Raw genomic sequence first — 17,962 nt, forward strand, 5'->3', positions numbered from 1 at the left:
GCAACCTCCACCTCCTGGGTTCAGGCAATTCTCCTGCCTCAGCCTCCCGAGTAGCTGGGATTACAGGTGCCTGCCACCATGCCCAGCTAATTATTGTACTTTTAGTACAGACGGGGTTTTACCATGTTGGCCAGGCTGGTCTCGAACTCCTGACCTCATGATCTGCCTGCCTCGGCCTCCCAAACTGCTGGGATTACAGGTGTGAGCCACTGTGCCCAGCCTGTCTTTTCTCTTCACACCCGCAGTTCATGATGAAATATTAAATATGTACTAGTGGATATTACTTTGCTGAATATTGCCTAATGAATATTAAGTATTTATTCTCACCTTTCAGACATGAACTTATGAATTCAACAGGTGAAGATTTACAACTTGATAAATCAACTTTGTCAGGTACGTCTTCAGTCAAGTCAGATTAGAAGATTATGTGAGGTAATTAACACTTAACATTGATTTAATGGTAGCTTCCACATGAAATAGTATGCCTCTAAGTATTAATTATGTCCTAGGACAGGAGAATTCATGTTGTCAAAATTCTCATACTCTCTAGAACAATAAACTCATTTTCTTTTTATTAGTAAATATTGCATTTATGGGTAGACAAAACTGAAAGAACAATATTTGTTCTACTTTTGAGATGCAAGATTCATCTGGTATAATGCATTGAACAGGTTATTATTGAAGTCTACACCAGTCAACTGAATAAGCATTCATCAAATGTCCATGATATGCAGGACATAAGTTTTCTTTTAGAGTATGGAACCATGCATATTATCTTTTAATTAGATGATTTAGTTAGATATGTTTTTAAAGAACTAGAAATATAATTGATTTTCTTGTTTTGGCTCTGGAGTGGAGTGGGGACGAAACAGAATGGATTCACACTTGTTTAGATTTACTAAAATGGAAAGATTGCAGCAAGATCATATCCCTAGTCTCCCTACTCCCTATAGCAAATGTCACCTGCTAGCTGTTTTTTTTTTTTTTTTTTTTTTTTTTTTTTGGAGGTTGAAGTTTTGTTCTGTCACCCACGCTGGAGTGCAGTGGTATGATCTCAGCTCATGGCAAGCTCACCTCCTGGGTTCAAGCAATTCTCCCTGCCTCAGCCTCCTAAGTAGCTGGGATTACAGGCCTCTGCCACCACGCCTGCCTAATTTTTGTATTTGTAGTAGAGTTGGGGTTTCACCATGTTGGCCAGGCTGGCCTTGAACTCCTGACTTCAGGAGATTCACCCGCCTCAGCCTCCCAAAGTGCTTGGGATTATGGGTGTGTCACTGCACTTGGATTTAATGGGATATTTCACTACAGACTTCGGTAAACAGAATATTAGCATTTTTGGTGTTCTTTTTATTTTACTCATACTGTTTTTCTTTGGACTCAATCACAATAACAGAATTAAAGATCAAAGTGTAAAAGTTAAAGACCAGTACAGATTCAATAATTATTCTTTTCTACATACCGTGTTTAAATGATATCCCTTTTTCTTTTTGTTCTTATAGCTCGAGCTGTAAAAGCCAAAGGTCCGGTGATGATCCCATACCCTTTTTTCCAGTCTCATGTTGAAGATTTTTATGTAGAAGGCCTTCCCAAAGGAATTTTTTTTTTTTTTTTTTTTTTTGAGATGGAGTTTTCACTCTTATCGCCCAGGCTGGGGTGCAATGGCGCAACCTTGCTGGTCACTGCAACCTCTGCCTCCTGGGTTCAAGAAATTCTCCTGCCTTAGCCTCCCAAGTCACTGGGATTACAGGTGCCCACCACCACACCAGGCTAATTTTTGTATTTTTAGTGGAGATGCGGTTTCACCATGTTGGCTGGGCCAGTCTCGAACTCCTGACGTCAAGTGATCTTCCCGCCTCGACTCCTGATATCAAGTGATCTTCCCGCCTCGGCCTCCCAGAGTGCTGAGATTACAGACGTGAACCCATGCCTGGCCAGGAATTTTGTTTTTTAGGAAGGCTTTCTACTAATGGAATTCCTGGCCTTGAGAGGATGTTACTTTAGAAGGAAAGGATTTTTTTGTTATTAAAAGGTAAGATTCCTGGATTCTTATTGGACTGTTCAATCTCTGTTATGAGTAATCCATCTTTAGTCATTCACCACTAGGGTTGTATTTAATTAAGTCTGAGTTATTTTATGGTGGTTTTGTTTTGTTTTGTTTTGTTTTGTTTTTACCGAATTTTGTTCTCATTGCCGTGGCTTGAGGGCAATGACGTGATCTCAGGTCACCACATTCTCTGCCTTCCAGGTTCAAGCAATTCTCCTGCCTCAGCTTCCTTAGTAGCTGGATTTACAGGCATGCGCCACCATGCTTGGCTAATTTTTTGTATTTTTAGTAGAGATGGTGTTTCACCATGTTGACCAGGCTGGTCTAGAACTCCTGACCTTGGGTGATCCACCCGCCTCGGCCTCCCAAAGTGCTGGGATTACAGGCATGAGCCACTGCGCCCAGCCTGGGCCTGCTTCTTTCTCTTTTTCTTTTTTTTTCATTAGCAGCTTAAAATTGGTGCCTTATTCAGACACAAGCAAAAGGACATTAGCCCAGCTTTGGAAATAGGTGAGAGCCCATATATGATTTTCCTAGTTTCTCCTCCCCCTTTGCTTTTTGCTCTCTTGTTAGTATATTAATTGTTTTCACTCTCTGAATCTTTTTTCCCCATTTCTTTGGCAGTCATTTTTACTTGTCTTGGAAGAGTAGGTGAAGAGCTGTTTTTAGGACTCTTTGAAAGGGTACAGTATGGGTGTCAGTCTTGGCTAATGGTAACATCCAGGGAGCTGGGGTCAGCGTGAGCTGGAATCAGTTCAAATTAGCAAAGCACTGGCACTCAGTGGCAGGAATACAAGTGACTGCAAAGTGTTAAACACATCTGGAAAGGGATACTGACATCATCCTCAGAATCTGTGGGGAGTTCACATAGCCAGTTAGGACCCATTCTTCTTTGACCCTATAAAGATTCTTTAAAGAATAAATACCCTTAGTGGTTTTCTAGCCAGCTTGCCTGCTCATTTATCTTTGAGGACGACATGCCTTGTGGAGCTCCACAGGCCCCAGAGGGGTATGGATTCTGCATTTAAAAGTGCTGAAGCTGAGAGACTGGGTCTTGGTGGACCCCGAGAGGTCTGTTTCTCCTCTACTCATTGTTCCTTTTTTTCCCAACAGCTGGCATTGCTGTTTAAATGGGTTGTTCTTTGCTGTTTTAAGTTGTTTCATAGTGGTGTGTCAGGATTTGGGTTTTCTTAATACTTTCCAAGCTGGTGACTTGAGTGGTGGTTAGGGAGGAAATGTTTTAGGGCTGTTCTGGAGCTATTGAGGTCAGGTGTCTAGATACTCCCAGCTTGTCTGTTGAGGAGAATGCTGTTCTCATTGTGCTGCCTTTGGTGGTGCTGTGTGTGGCTCTTTAGATGTGCGTGGAGGTGAGCTGGGGGAGTTAATGAGATCTTTTTTAGGTGCTTTTGATAAAGTAGCCTGCACTACAGGATTCACTGTGACTTTTTTCCTTAACCTATGCATTTCTCTCTGCTAGCTTTTGCTGTCTTTCTCATGCCTTTGATTTTCCCAGCTCCTCTTAGTTGAATTAACCTAAGTGCTCTGCTATGGTTTAAATGTGTCCCCCAAAGTTTATGTGCTGGAAACTCAATCCTCAATGCAACAGTTGGGATGTGGGGCCTAATAAAATAGCCTTCATGAATGAGTTAATGTTGTTATTGTGGTAATAGATTAGTAATCACAGAGTGGGCTTATTATAAAACAGAGTTCAGCCCCTTTTGCCCTCTTGCTTTCTTGCACTCTCTTTTCCTTCTGCCTTCTGTAGTGGGATGATGCAGCAAGAAGACCCTTACCAGATGCAGGCCCCTCAACCTTGGACTTCCTAACATCCAGAACTGTTAAGAAATAAAATTTATTCCTTTCCTTTCCTTTTCTTCCTCCTTTCCCTTCTCTTCCCTTTTCTTCCCTTCCCCTCCCTCCCTCTCTCTCTCCCTCCCTCCCTCCTTCCCTCCCTTCCTCCTTCCCTCTTTCTCTCTTTCCCTTCCTTCCTTTCCTTCTTTCCCTTCCTTCCTTTCCTTCCCTCCTTCCCTTTTTCCCTCCTTCCCTCCTCCCTTCCTTTTTTCTTTCCTTCCTTTTTTCCTTTTTATAAATTATGCAGTCTGTGGTATTCTTTTATAGAAGCATGAAATGGACAAAGACTCCATTTTCAAGAGCAAGCACTTTTGTAGTTTCTGAGCGAACTATGACTGCAAAGGAAGTTCTATAGGTAGCCTCAGATCCACTACCTAGGAAGCATGCCACCAAGCAGACCTAGGATCTAGGATTTGATCAAGTGCTGGGCAACATGATACCTCTGCAATTTAGCACTTCCCTATATACCTCCAGTTGGCTCAGCCCATTAGGGCTAAAACTACCCCTCATATCCTAGTGTCTCTTGTAGGCAGAAGCCTTGCCTAAACCCTAAGCTGCTTGGCTCACATTCTGTCTTGTGCTTTTTTTGTAGGGGGTTCAAATATACACAAAAGAAATATGTTGAACCTCCATGCACCCAACCCGCAGATTAAGCAGTTACCTCCATTTTTCCAGATTTGTTTCATCTGCTTCAATCTCCCTAAAAATTTATGTTTGTACAGGAAAGACTGAATAAATAGCTAATTCTCCACCCTACCTCTCATCTTAAGTCACTTTTCAGAGTAGTAAGTTAGTGACCTAGTAACCTTCCCTCTAATGACCAGTAGTTTTTTTTTCTGAATACCATTATGAACTCATAGATTATTGTTTGCATTTGATGTATTTCAGGCCATTGCAGTCTTTATTGTTTTGGATGCTTACATTGTCTCATCTAGGTTAATAATTATCTCTTCAAGTTGACTTTCATGTCTTTTTGACGTGATCCTGTTGGACTTTGATGGCTTCCTTGCTTTCTGGCAAAACAGATGTTCCAGGATCAATATACTGCACCATACATGGAGTCAGCCATTTCTCTAGGGAACCTTGATTCCTTTTAGTAGAGAACACAGTTTGAGGTCTTGGACTGAATGACTTTTGTGAACCTCCTCTCCTGAGACTACAGCCTGCATCCCTGCATATAGCCCGTTTGGAGCTCTTGCTGGGCACCAACAGATCTCCTAAAACTGCTATATAGTTCTGCCTCACTCTTACAAAGATTCATCTCTTGAGAGTTTTGTGCTCTACCCCCAGATGTGGTCTTTCTGGTTATGAAGCTTTTGCTTCAGTCACCCTGAATTTTGCCAGCCCTATGCATGCTATACCTTGGATTGCCAACTTGCCCTCACTGAAGCCAGTTTCTCTGGTTAGAATAGTTGCCCAAACCCATGCCTAATACTCTAGTAAACAAGGTTCTACCTGGGCTTAGGTTAACTTTTGCTCCTTTGGGCCCTGTGTTCTACCAGCATTCCATTTATCTGAAACTCTCCCTCACCTTAAGAACTTATCTGTTCTTTAATGATTTACTGCTGCTTCCTGGGCTCGAAAGAACCCAGTTCAGGAGTTTCTGTTTTAGTTTGAGATCTTATAGGCCTGTCTCATCAGGTTGGTGTCAGCCCAGCTAGGATTAGGCAGAATTGGGTGGGGGCTGTAGTGCATTTTTGGCACAGCATGTACCTGTCTGACTAATTCTCTGTCTTTTCTTTCCTGTTGCAATTCATGGGTCTTAGCATCTTCTGAATGGTGTTTAGTAGGTCATCCTGTTGATTTCCTGCTAGGGAGTAGCATACTCTGGCCCTGTACCATTGGCCAAGGGACTTAAGGATAGATGAAGGGCTGCAGTTTTGTTAAATGGAACAATATGAAGAGATGGCATTGTTAAAAAAAAAAAAAAAAAGGCTTGGCAGCATGGCCCATTTGAATGGTTGGTCCTTGGCTCCTTTGTTGATATAGGCAGATCCTTGATGGGAATTTGGAATGATCCCAAATATTGTAGATCACTGGTACATCAAGTCATCCTCAAGGTTGTCTGTGTAACAGTCTTGAATGATATTTTGTCAGTCTTTGGAGAGTCTCTGTATAGGGTTTAATCATTTAGTTATTTCAGTTGAGCCTGTTTAGTTTCTTTGCAAGGAGATAAGAAATGTGAAAGAGATGCAGACATTAGGGAAAAAAAGTCAGGAGCCTTGTTTCCCCATCCTCTACTTGGGTTCTGGAACTAGACTCATAGGTGAGTAGTGAGGAGCTGGGCCCAAGCACATTAATCCTAGATCTAGCTCTGCTTTGCCCTCGCTCCAGTTCTTGTATCAAATTCACTTCAAGCCACCCAGAGTAGTATGTAGAGGAGTCATTCAGGACCATGCTCATACTTCATTGTATCAAATGGGAGATCCAGTAATTTATAGCCTATTGTTTCTGGAGCCTGGAGATGGCTCTGCATAAGATTTGCCGAAGCAAATTTTATTACATTAGAAGAGAACCTAGCTGGCTGCATCCTACACTGGAAGCTTTTAGATGCTAATAAGGAGGTCATGTAAAGGTCACAGAATGACTCTGGAATCCATTCCCCGCCAAGAAAGAATAATGACATTCTATGTTGGCCTCTTTTCATTTCCCTTTGGTTTTGAGTAATAAATTCTCTCCTCACTTCCCAGTCGAACTGTTTGGGAGTCTCTATTCCCTAGAAAGACTCTGGTCACATACCCATCAGATTAAATTAGGTGAAAACTCTTTGGCCTTCATGAATGTTGAAGGATTTCAAAGGGCTAATGGAAATTCTTCTAGAAGTAACTGCAACCTCCGCCTTCCGGGTTCAAGCGATTTTCCTGCCTCAGCCTCCCAAGTAGCTGGGATTACAGGTGTCCACCACCATGCCCAACTAATTTTTGTATTTTTAGTAGAGACGGGGTTTCACCATGTTGGCCAGGCTGATCTAGAACTTTTGACCTCAGGTGATCCGCCCGCCTCAGCCTCCCAAAGTGCTGGGATTACAGGCGTGATCCACCGCGCCCAGTTAAACTTCAGTTTTTCATGTTCCATGCATTGGTCAGGGTCTTAGGGAGTGATTCATTCTAGCAGAACTCCCTGGATTTTAAGGCAGATGTTCCATTTATTAATTGACAAAGGAGGCATATTTCTCCCCTGGTAACCCAAAGATTTAGGTCATTTTCCCAGAGACTCCATTTCCACTGTGAGGGTTCTTGGAAAACTAAGCAGAGGATGAGGAAAAGTCTGTGAACAAGCTTGCTGGTCTCTCCCTGTCCTACAAAAGAGCATACCTCTTCTGTAACCAGAAGGCCCTTTTGATTAGTCAAGGCTGGACAGAGTGAGATTGGGTGTGTGTGTGTGTGTGTGTGTTTGTGTGTGTCTTGAGACAGGGTCTCACTCTGTCACCAAGGCTAGAGTGCAGTGGTGAGATCAGAGCTCACTGCAGCTTCCACTTCCTGGGCTCAAGCGATCCTCCTATTTCAGCCTCCAGAGTAGCTGGGACTATACGAATGTTTTACCGCACCCAGTTCATTTTCTAATTTTTTGTAGAGATGAGGTTTCACTGTGTTGCTCAGGCTGGTCTTGAACTCCTGGCCTCACGGAATCCTCCTGCCTTAGTCTCCCAGTGGGCTGGGATTATAGGTATGAGCCACCTCACCTGACCTGCGACGATTTTTCAATGATGTAATTTCTCTTTTACAGAGCCACCTAAGCTGAAGATTCCCTTGAGAACAAGTACTGTCCCTAGTTTCCCAGTGCTGGAATATAGAAAATGGATGGACAAGTAAATCCCACTCAGCACCCATAGTCCAGGCATGGGGACCTCAACACACCTGAGCCCCAGACATCACCTTTCATTGTGAGTAGCTCTGAGATGACACTTCTGCTGTTCCCAATTCCAGCATTAATTGGATTAGATAGTTATTTTATGAAGAATTTTCATATGCCACAATCCTGACCATATCTTCAAGTGAACAGAAAAATTCTATTAAAAAGTCAACCTTCTGTCTCACTCTGTTGCCCAGACTGGAGTGCAGTGGTGCAATTATGGCTCACTGCAGCCTCAACCTCCTGGGCTCAAGCAATCCTCCTGCCTCAGCCTCACAAGTAGCTGGGACTACAGGTGCTTGTCACCACACCTCACTAATTTTCCCATTTGTGTTATATGTGGATTCCACAGGACTGACTTCGAAAACTTGAGTATGCGTGGATTTTGGTATACACAGAAATGGGAGAGCTGGAACTAATCCCCCCATATACCAAGGGACAAATTGTATCTGTTTCTACAATTATACAGTAGGAGACATTATGTTCCATGACAATGGTAATTTTTAACGACAGTTTTTAATTGAGTGAAATTACCATAAAAATAATAATAGTAGCAGCTAATATTTACTGAGCTGTTACTAGGTGCCTATAAATAGCATAGATTTTTAAATTCTCCATAATTCTTCCTTATTTCACTTAACCACTCTATCTTAAATTACTCATGCTTGCCTCAGTAGCACACATACTTAAGTTGGAACAATAGAGAGATTGGCACGGCCTCTGTGAAAGAATGACATGCAAATTTGTGAAGCATTCCATATTTTTTTAAAAAAAGAGAAAAAAATTACTCCCAGATTTTCACTGTGTTTGTGCATATGACCTTTTGTTTAGGTTGAATTATATCCAAAGGTGAAATTTCCAGAAGTGAGATTACTGTGAGTCACAGGGCATGAGCATTCTTATTACCCTCGATGTAAATTGCAAAGCTTTCAGGCATGGTGGCTGTCAGCCTGTAATTCCAGCACTTTGGGAGGCTGAGGTGGGAGGATTGCTTGAGGCCAGGAGTTGGAGGAGGCAGTATAATGAGTCACTGTCTGTATGATTTAAAAAAAATTTCCAAGCTTTATGCTGGAAGGCTTATATACATTTTAAACACCACTAATACTACAAGAAAATGGCCATTTCACTGCACCTTCGCCCACACAGGTATTATAATTTAACAAGTTATTTTCTGTGTGATAAATGAAAGACCTCCTATTATTACTTTGTCACCCATTCTTTTTTCTTTTTTGAGACACAGTCTCGCTCTGTCGACCAGGCTGGAGTGCAGTGGTGTGATCTCGGCTCACTGCAACCTGTGCCTCCCAGGTTCAAGCGATTCTCCTGCCTCAGCCTCCTGAGTAGCTGGGATTACAGGCATATGCCACCATGCCTGGTTAATTTTTGTATTTTTAGTAGAAACGTGGTTTCACCATGTTGATCAGGCTGGTCTCGAACTCCTGATCTCGTGATCTACCCGCCTTGGCCTCCCAAAGTGCTTGATTACAGCTGTGAGCCATGTGCCCAGCCTATTTGTCACATATTTTATCTTTCCTTATGTTAGCTTATTAGCTTTATTTCTTTATTGTCCTTTTTTTTTTTTTTTGAGATGAAGTCTCGCTCTGTCTCCTAGGCTTCAGTGTAGTGGCACAGTCTCAACTCACTGCAGCCTTGACCTCCTAGGCTCAGGTGATCCTTCCACCTCAGTAGTTGGGACTATAGGCACATGCCACTATGCCTGGCCAATTATTTTTATTTTTTTATTTTTACTAGAGAGGAGGTCTTGCTTTGTTTCTTAGGCTGGTCTGGAACTCCTGGCCTCAAGCAATCCCCCCACCACCCCCTCCCAAAGTACTGGTATTATAAGCATGAGCCACCATGCCTGGGGTATCTGTGTCTTTTCCATTTATTTATAGAGTTACTTTGTCTTTTACTAATTCAATGATCTGTTTAATCTTTTATTAAATTATAAAAATGATAAATACTTTTAAATAAGTGAAAAATGTCCTTCACTCTTTAGACCCATAATCTTATCTCAGGAAATAATTGCAGTTGAGAAAATGGGCCATATCCTTCAAGATACGTACATGGTGATTGAACATCACTTCATATTTTCATATTTCGTGGACATTTGTGCCAATACCTATTGATCTATCTTAATCCTTTTCATGGTTGCATAATATTTTATTATATGGATGTATCACAATTTACCAGTACCAGTCAACTGCTGGAGGCATTTAGGCTCCTTCTAATATTTGCTTTGAGCTCTTTATATAATTAAAAATTAACCCCCTCAGCCAGGTGTGGCAGCTGACACCTGTAATCCCAGCATTTTGGAAGGCTGAGGTGAGAGAACTGCCTGAGTGTAGGAGATCACCACCAACCTGGTCAACATAGTGACACTTTGTCTCTACTAAAAATTAAAAAAAAAAAATGAGCTACACGTTGCAGTGCACACCTGTAGTCCGAGCTACTGGGGAGGCTAAGACTGGAGGATCACTTGAGTCTAGAAGGTTGAGGCTGCAGTAAGCTATGATCACACCATTGCACTTTAGCTTTGCTAAGAGCAAGACTGCATTTCTTAAACAAAATAAAAATTAGATGGGAATATTGCTCAAGCCCTGGAGGTTGAGGCTGCAGTTAACTGTGATTGCACCACTGCAGTCCAGCCTAGGTGATAGAGCAAGACCCTTTCTCTAAAAATAAAATAAAATAAAAATTAACCTTCTATCATATTTCCCAGTAACACCTTCCCTCCTACATTTCTCCTAGAAGCCCTTAAATTTTGTTTTTCACATATCGTTTAAAACTTTTAAGTGCTGATGTCTGTCTGTGTCATCCCTCTTTTTTTTTTTTTTTAAATGTCTTTTTGTCACTTCTAGCTGGACCTACCATGAAAGACTTCTGAATCCAGGAAGAGAAACTGACTGGGCAACATGTTATTCAGGTACAAAAAGACTTGGACTGTAACTCAAAAATGATCAAATAATAGTGCATGCATCAAGTGCAATCGGAAGCTCTTCTGGAGAGGGAGAGAAGCTTCCAGTTAAGGTGACATTGAAGCCAAGTCCTGTAAGATAAGGAAGAGTTGTATGAGAGTGGGGAGGGAAGGGGGAGGTGGAGGGATGGGGATTGGGCTGGGATGGGATGGAGTGAGCTGCCCAGGCAGGGAAACCAGCACTATACAGACCTGAACAATGAAGATGGCACATTTTGTTCAGGGTATGGTGAATTAAGTGTGGCAGAAATGCTTTGTAGAGACAGTAATTTGCCTGTATGGAATTTTGCCCAAGAGACCTCATTACAGTTTCTAATTTTTTGATGTTATCATGCATCACTGCCCTTGTCAGATAGTATCATGATCACAATAACATCAAGCATAATATTTCATTGATTCTCACAAAAACAGGTGGGTGCCACAGTTATCCCCATTATATGCACAAAATGATGAAGACTTGGGGTTAATGAGCGATTTGCCCAAGCTCACCTGAATATTAGGACTGAGTCAAATGTTAGTCTGGTCTGACTTTAATGCTTGCCTTGTTCATGAGCACCATGCATTGCCTCTCCTATTAAGTTAAGCAGGTAGACAGGTGAGAGAAGAGCCAGTGTGATATCGGGGGAAATTCACCCCTGATATTTCATGTAGGTTCTTTTCTATTTTCCCTGAGTGTCAGCCAGTCTGAGAAATAAAGGGAAAGAGTACAAAAGAGAGAAATTTTAAAGCTGGATGTCCAGGGGAGACATCACACGTCGGCAGGTTCCGTGATGCCCCCCAAGCCGCAAAACCAACAAGTTTTTATTAGTGATTTTCAAAAGGTGAGGGAGTGTACGAATAGGGTGTGGGTCACAGAGATCACATGCTTCACAAGGTAATAAAATATCACAAGGCAAATGGAGGCAGGGCAAGATCACAGGACCACAGGACTGGGGCGAAATTAAAATTGCTAATGAAGTTTCGGGCGCGCATTGTCATTGATAACATCTTATCAGGAGAAAGGGTTTGAGAGCAGACAACCCATCTGACCAACATTTATTAGGCGGGAATTTCCTTGTCCTGATAAGCCTGGGAGCGCCACGCGAACCCAGGGCTTATTTCATCCCTTATCTATGACTGTAAAAGACAGCCGTCCCCAAAGCGGCCATTTCAGAGGCCTCCCCTTAGGGATGCATTCTCTTTCTCAGGGATGTTCTTTGCTGAGAAAAAGAATTCAGCAATACTTCTCCTATTTGCTTTTGAAAGAAGAGAAATATGGCTCTGTTCAACCCGGCCCACAGGCAGCCAGAGTTTAAGGTTATCTCCCTTGTTCCCTGAAATTGCTGTTATCCTGTTCTTTTTTCAAGGTGCCCAGGTTTCATATTGTTTAAACAACTTGTGCAGTTAACGCAATTATCACAGGGTCCTGCGGGGACATTCATCCTCAGCTTACGAAGATGAGCGGATTAAGAGATTAAAGACAGGCATAGAAAATCACAAGGGTATTGATTGGGGAAGTGATAAGTGTCCATGAAATCTTCACAATTTATGTTCAGAGATTGCAGTAATGACAGGCCTAAGAAATTATAGAAGTATTAATTTGGGGAACTAATAAATGTCCATGAAATCTTCACAATTTATATTCTTCTGCTGTGGCTTCAGCCAGTCCCTCCGTTTGGGGTCCCTGACTTCCTGCAACACGTTTCTCTCTACTCACAGACTTCTGACCAAATGTGTGTGCAGAGTTTCTACACCAGTTCTCCAACTCTCTGGATGCCAACCGCGTATCCCACAATTCCATTCTGACACTACCTAGAGTTAGCACAGAACCCACAGGTTAGGGGCTCAGTCCCACAAGACCACCCTCACTTCAGATGCCAGTTGCAAGTCCTAGGTTGTCACCTGTATTTTGACCAACCAGTTAGAAATCAGGGTTTCCCATGACCCTCTTGTTGAGTTTAATTATTTACTAGAACAACTCACAGAACTTAGAAAAACAAGTTTTTTTTCTTTTCTTTTTAAGAGACAGGGCCTCGCTCTGTTGTCCAAGCTGGTGTGCAGTGGTGCAATCATAGCTTATTGAAGCCTCAACATCCAGGGCTCAAGTGATTCTCCTGCTTCAGCCTCTCAAGTAGCTGGAATTACAGGGTTCCCACCACCACATTTGGCTAATTTCTTTTATTTTTTGTATAGATGGGGTCTTCTTATGTTGCCCAGGTTGGTCTCAAATTCCTAGGCTCAAGTGATTCCGCCCACCTCTGCCTCCCAAAGTGCTGGGATTACGGGCATGAGCCAGTGCATCTGGCCACCTTATTTTCTATTACTGGCTCAATGTAATGGCTCCATCTCAGGAACAGCCAATGAAAGAGATGCACAGGACAAGGTAAGTGGGGAGGGGCACAGAGCTTCCATGCCCTCTGTTGGGCACACTACCCTCCCAGGACCTCCTTGTGTTTAGCAACACAGAAGCTCTCCAAACCCTGCTGTTTGGGTGTTTATGGAGGCATGATTGATAAAATCACTGGCCATTGGTAGTTAAGTCAATCTCCAGTTCCTTTTGCCTCCTGGAGTTCAGCAGGTGAGGCTGAAAGTTCCAAGCCTCAAAAAATGTGGTTGGGGCCAGGTGCGGTGGCTCACTCCTGTAATCCTAGCAGTTTGGAAGGCTGAGGCACATGGACCACTTGAGGTCAAGAGTTTGAGACCAGCCTGACCAACATGGTGAAACCCCGTTTCTACTAAAAATAACAACAGTTAGCTAGGCATTGTGGCACACCCCTATAATTCCAGCTACTCGGGAGGCCGAGGCAGGAGAATTGCTTGAACCCGGGAGGTGGAGGTTGTAGCGAGCTGAGATTGTGCCATTGCACTCCAGCCTGGGCTACAAGAGCCAAACTCTGTTTTAAAAAAAAAATGTGGTTGCTTTCTCTGGCAGCTAGCCCTCCTCCTGAAGCAGTCTCGGAGCTTGCAGCCACCCCGTTAGCTCAACAGCATCCCACATGCATTCTTACCATGCTGCAGATCTGAAAGACCTTAGAGGCCCTTGTGTCAGGAACCTGGGACTAAGACTAAATATCAAAACAGAAAATGCTCCTATTACCTCTGTCACGAAGGGCTTTATAAGAGCTTTGGAAGCTCTATGCCAGGAACCAGGGGCAGAGACCAAATGTATATTTCTTTTCTTATATCGGAGACAGAGTCTCACTCTGCCACTGAGGCTGGAGTGCAGTGATGTGATCATAGCTCACTGCAGCCTTGACCTCCTAGGCTAAAGCAATCCTCCCACCTTAGCCTCTCCAGTAGCTGGAACTACAGGCATGCATCACCATGTCCAGCTGATTTTAATTTTGTAAAGGCAGGATCTTCCTATTTTCCCCAGGCTGATCTCTAACTCTTGGCCTCAAGCAATCCTTCCTCTTTGGCCTCCCAAAATGTTGGGATTACAGATGGGAGCCCCCATACCCACCAATCACAAGGATCTTTATAAGAGAATGAGGTAGGAGAGTCAGAATTAGAGAAAGTGATGTGGTAATGGAAGAAGAGGTCAGAGAGGGAGATTTGAAGATGCTGCACTTCTGGCCTTGAATATGGAGTCACGAGGTAAGTCAAGGAATGGGGGTGGCTTCTAGAAGCTGGAAAAGGCAAAGGAGCACATTCTGTCTAGAGCCTCCCCCAGAAGGAATGCAGCCTCTCTGACACCTTGACTTTAGCCTTAATAGACCTAGTTGGGCTTCTGGCCCCCAGAACTGTAAGATGGTAGATTTGTGGTGTTTGATGCCACTAAATGTAGGGTACTTTGTTGTAGCAACAACAAAAAATGAACACGAAGCTGGGACCTCATGTTACAGTTGCTCACGCCTGTAATCCCAGAACTTTAGGAGGCTGAGGTGGGAGGATCGCTTAAGCCCAGGAGCTTAAGACCAGCCTGGGCAACATAATGAGACCTCATGTCTAAAAAAAATATTTTTTTAAAGGCCAGGCGCAGTGGCTCACGCCTGTAATCCCAGCACTTTGGGAGGCCGAGGAGGGTGGATCACGAGGTCAGAAGTTCAAGACCAGCCTAGCCAAGATGGTGAAACCCCATCTCTACTAAAAATACAAACATTAGCCAGGTGTGGTGGTGGGTGCCTGTAATCCCAGCTACTTGGGAGGCAGAGAATCACTTGAACCCAAAAGGCAGACATTGCAGTGAGCCAAGATCGCACCCTTACACTTCAGCCTGGGCGACCGAGACTCCGTCTCAAAAAAAAAAAAATAAAAGCCATGTGTTGTGGCATGCAGCTGTAGTCTCAGTTCCTAGGGTGGCTGAGGCGGGAGGATTGTTTAAGCCTGGGAGGTTGAAGTTGCTGTGAGCTGTGATTGCACCAGTGTACTCCAGCCTGGGCAATAAAGCAAGATCTTGTTTCAAAAAGAAAGAAAGAAATGAGCATGGTGGGAATGGGGACAGATGGCAGTGTTAAGTAGAGTGGTCAGGGTTGGCCTCATAAGTGAATATTGAGCAAAAGTTTGAAGCAGGTGATGGAGCTGGCCAAGGTGCTGAGGGAAGAGCATTGTAGGCTGAGTCAACAGGATAAAGGCATTAGGAGGAAACTCTCTGGTGTGTCTGAGGCTCTGGAAGGAGGCCAGTGGAGCAAAGAGATGGAGCGAAGTCAGCGAGGAGGCCAGGGAGTTGCTGGGCTGGGATCGGTACAGATCGTGTAAGCCCTGGGACGCTATTGCTGGGGCTTTGGCTTTTGCTCTGACTAAAATGGGAACCACCGAGGGCTTCTGAGCAGAGAGGCGACATGATCCGTCTCCTGATTTAAAAGCACGACCTGGCTGCCGAGTTGAGAAAGACTATGGGAAGATTTGGGTAGAAGCATGGGAGCCAAGCTGTGGCAACATCCCGGTGGGAGATGATAGTGATCCTGACGGGGTTCATGGTGGTGGTGAGAGATGGTTAGAGCCTGGATACATGTTGAAGTCAGTCAGTAGGATTTCCTGACAGACTGGATGTGAGCTGTGAGAGAAGGCAGTGGTCAAGGTTGAGTTTGATTCTGATTGAATTATTAAGTAATTTTAAAAAACACTACTGCTTTTCCCAATCCTACCAAGTAAAGGATGCTAGATAAAAGAAATCCCAAGTCAGGCCAGGTACAGTGGCTCACACCTATAGTTCCAACAGTTTGAGAGGCAGAGATGGGAGTATGTTTTAAGGCCATGAGTTTGAGAGCAGCCTGGGCAACACAGCAAGACCTCCTCTCTACAAAAATAAAAAAAATAAATTTAATAAAAGAAAATAAATATAGCCAGGCATGATGGTATGTACCTATGGCCCCAGTTACTCATGTGGCTGAGATGGGCAGATCTCTTGATTCTAGGAGTTTGAGGCCAGCTTGGGCAACATAGCAAGTCTTCTCTCTCTACAAAAATGAAAAAAATGCCTGACATGGTGGTACTTGCCTGTATTCCCAGGTATGGGGGCAGCTGAGGCAGGAGCATCTCTTGAGCCCAGTTGGTCAAGGTTGCAGTGAGCTATGATTATACCACTGCACTCCATCCTGGGTGACAGAGTGGGACCCTGTCTCAAAATACAAATACAAATGAAATCTCAAGTCAGACCAGTCCCTTCTAGGCTATGTAGGCCTTGTAACCATACAGCTGCATGATCGGGTTTGTGTGGCTGTGGATGAGGAGACCCCTGTCCAATTGTTGGCTATGTAATCAGTTTATTTTTCAATATAGTAATCAAATATATTTCATCATACTTGATGGTCTCAGATATGTGTGGATTTTGGAATTTCCCTTGGAACAGGTTGTAACATCTTATTGGCTCCATAATTCCATAATTTTTTAAATCGGATCAGTTTTTAATAAGATCGCAATTTATATTAGACTACTTAATCGGTTTTGTTAATGAGAAAATGAAATTGTGTTGTTTGCATTTTATCCAAGATGGGTGTCATATTGGGTAAATCTCATCAATACTTGAACAAATGCAAAATTAGAGCTTCTTTATCATGAAACACGATGTAATTCTTGAAGAAGATGCCATTTCTTTTTTTTCTTTTTTTTTTTAAGATAAGAGTCTTTCTCTTGTCACCCAGGCTGGAGTGCAATGGTGCGATTTTGGCTCACTGCAACCTTCACCTTCTGGGTTCAAGCAATTCTCCTGCCTCAGCCTCCCGAGTAGCTGGGATTACAGGTGCCCGCCACCATACCCAGCTAATTTTTGTATTTTTAGTAGAGATGGGATTTCACCATGTTGGCCAGGCTCCTCTGGAGCTCCTGACCTCAGGCAATCTGCCTGCCTCAGCCTCCCAAAATTCAAGGAGTACAGATGTGAACAACCACGCCCGGCCTCCATTTCTTTTTTGTAGTCTTTAATAAACAGCTGCTATCATTGCAGACTTGCTGTTTAGGCACTTAGGAATTTTTCACTAGAAGGCATGTAAATAAAGACCATGGGCAATTGTAATGAATTTCGCCTTCATTCTTTGACTACATGACTGTCCCCAGAGCTGTAACTTTATTGAATTTTTTAGAAGCCATTTAGCTAGCAACTGAGCCTAACCAGCCACTCACTGTCATTATTCAGTGCTCTTTTATTATTGTCTATTTCTCCTCCAACTTGGCTACACTCACAAAGTGATAAAAACTTGCATTTGTTTTCTTTCCTTTTCAGAGACAGCGTCTTGCTCTGTTGCTTAGGCTACAGTACAGTGACATGATCATGGTTCACTGTAGCCTCAAACTCCTGGGCTCAAGTGGTTCTCTCACTTCAGTCTCCCAAGTAGCTGGGACTACAGACATGTGCCACCATGTCCAGGTAATTTTTTATCATAGAGACGGGATCTTGCCATGTTGCTCCGACTGGGCTCAAAACTCCTGACCTCAAGTGATCCTCCTGCCTCAGCCTCCCAAAGTGCTGGGATTACAGGCAGGCATGACCACCTGTGCCCAGCCCCCTATTATTATTATTTTAAATAATAGCTTTATTAAAATATTCACATACCATTCACTTTATTTATTGAAATCTGCAATTCAGTAGGTTTTAGAATATTCACAGAGCTGTGCATCGATCACCACAGTCACTTTTAGAACCTTTCATTACCCTATAGAGAAATCCATACCCCTTAGCCACTACCTCCTACTCTCCCCACCTACCTTTGCCCCCAGCCTTAGGCAACCATTGATTAATTTTTTTGTCACTATAGATTTGCCTAATCTGGACAAATAGAATTGTACAATATGTGATCTTTTGTGGCTTTTTTTCCCTCTTA

General features: G+C 43.2%; 1 long non-coding RNA gene and 1 pseudogene across 1 annotated transcript in view; both read left to right on the plus strand.

Annotated features, from left to right (window-relative positions):
* Positions 1-17,962, plus strand: part of FAM157A (family with sequence similarity 157 member A) — a 69,308-nt gene that overhangs the window by 35,132 nt on the left and 16,214 nt on the right. Inside the window, exons 9-11 of the long non-coding RNA NR_146164.1 lie at positions 335-393; positions 1,500-2,029; positions 10,609-10,673. This is a non-coding gene — a long non-coding RNA (family with sequence similarity 157 member A). The remainder of the gene's footprint in view (positions 1-334; positions 394-1,499; positions 2,030-10,608; positions 10,674-17,962) is intronic.
* RNU6-860P (RNA, U6 small nuclear 860, pseudogene) lies at positions 8,409-8,512 on the plus strand (annotated as a pseudogene).

The sequence above is a fragment of the Homo sapiens genome, chromosome 3, assembly GCF_000001405.40.
Source record: "Homo sapiens chromosome 3, GRCh38.p14 Primary Assembly".
Taxonomy (NCBI): Eukaryota; Metazoa; Chordata; class Mammalia; order Primates; family Hominidae; genus Homo; species Homo sapiens.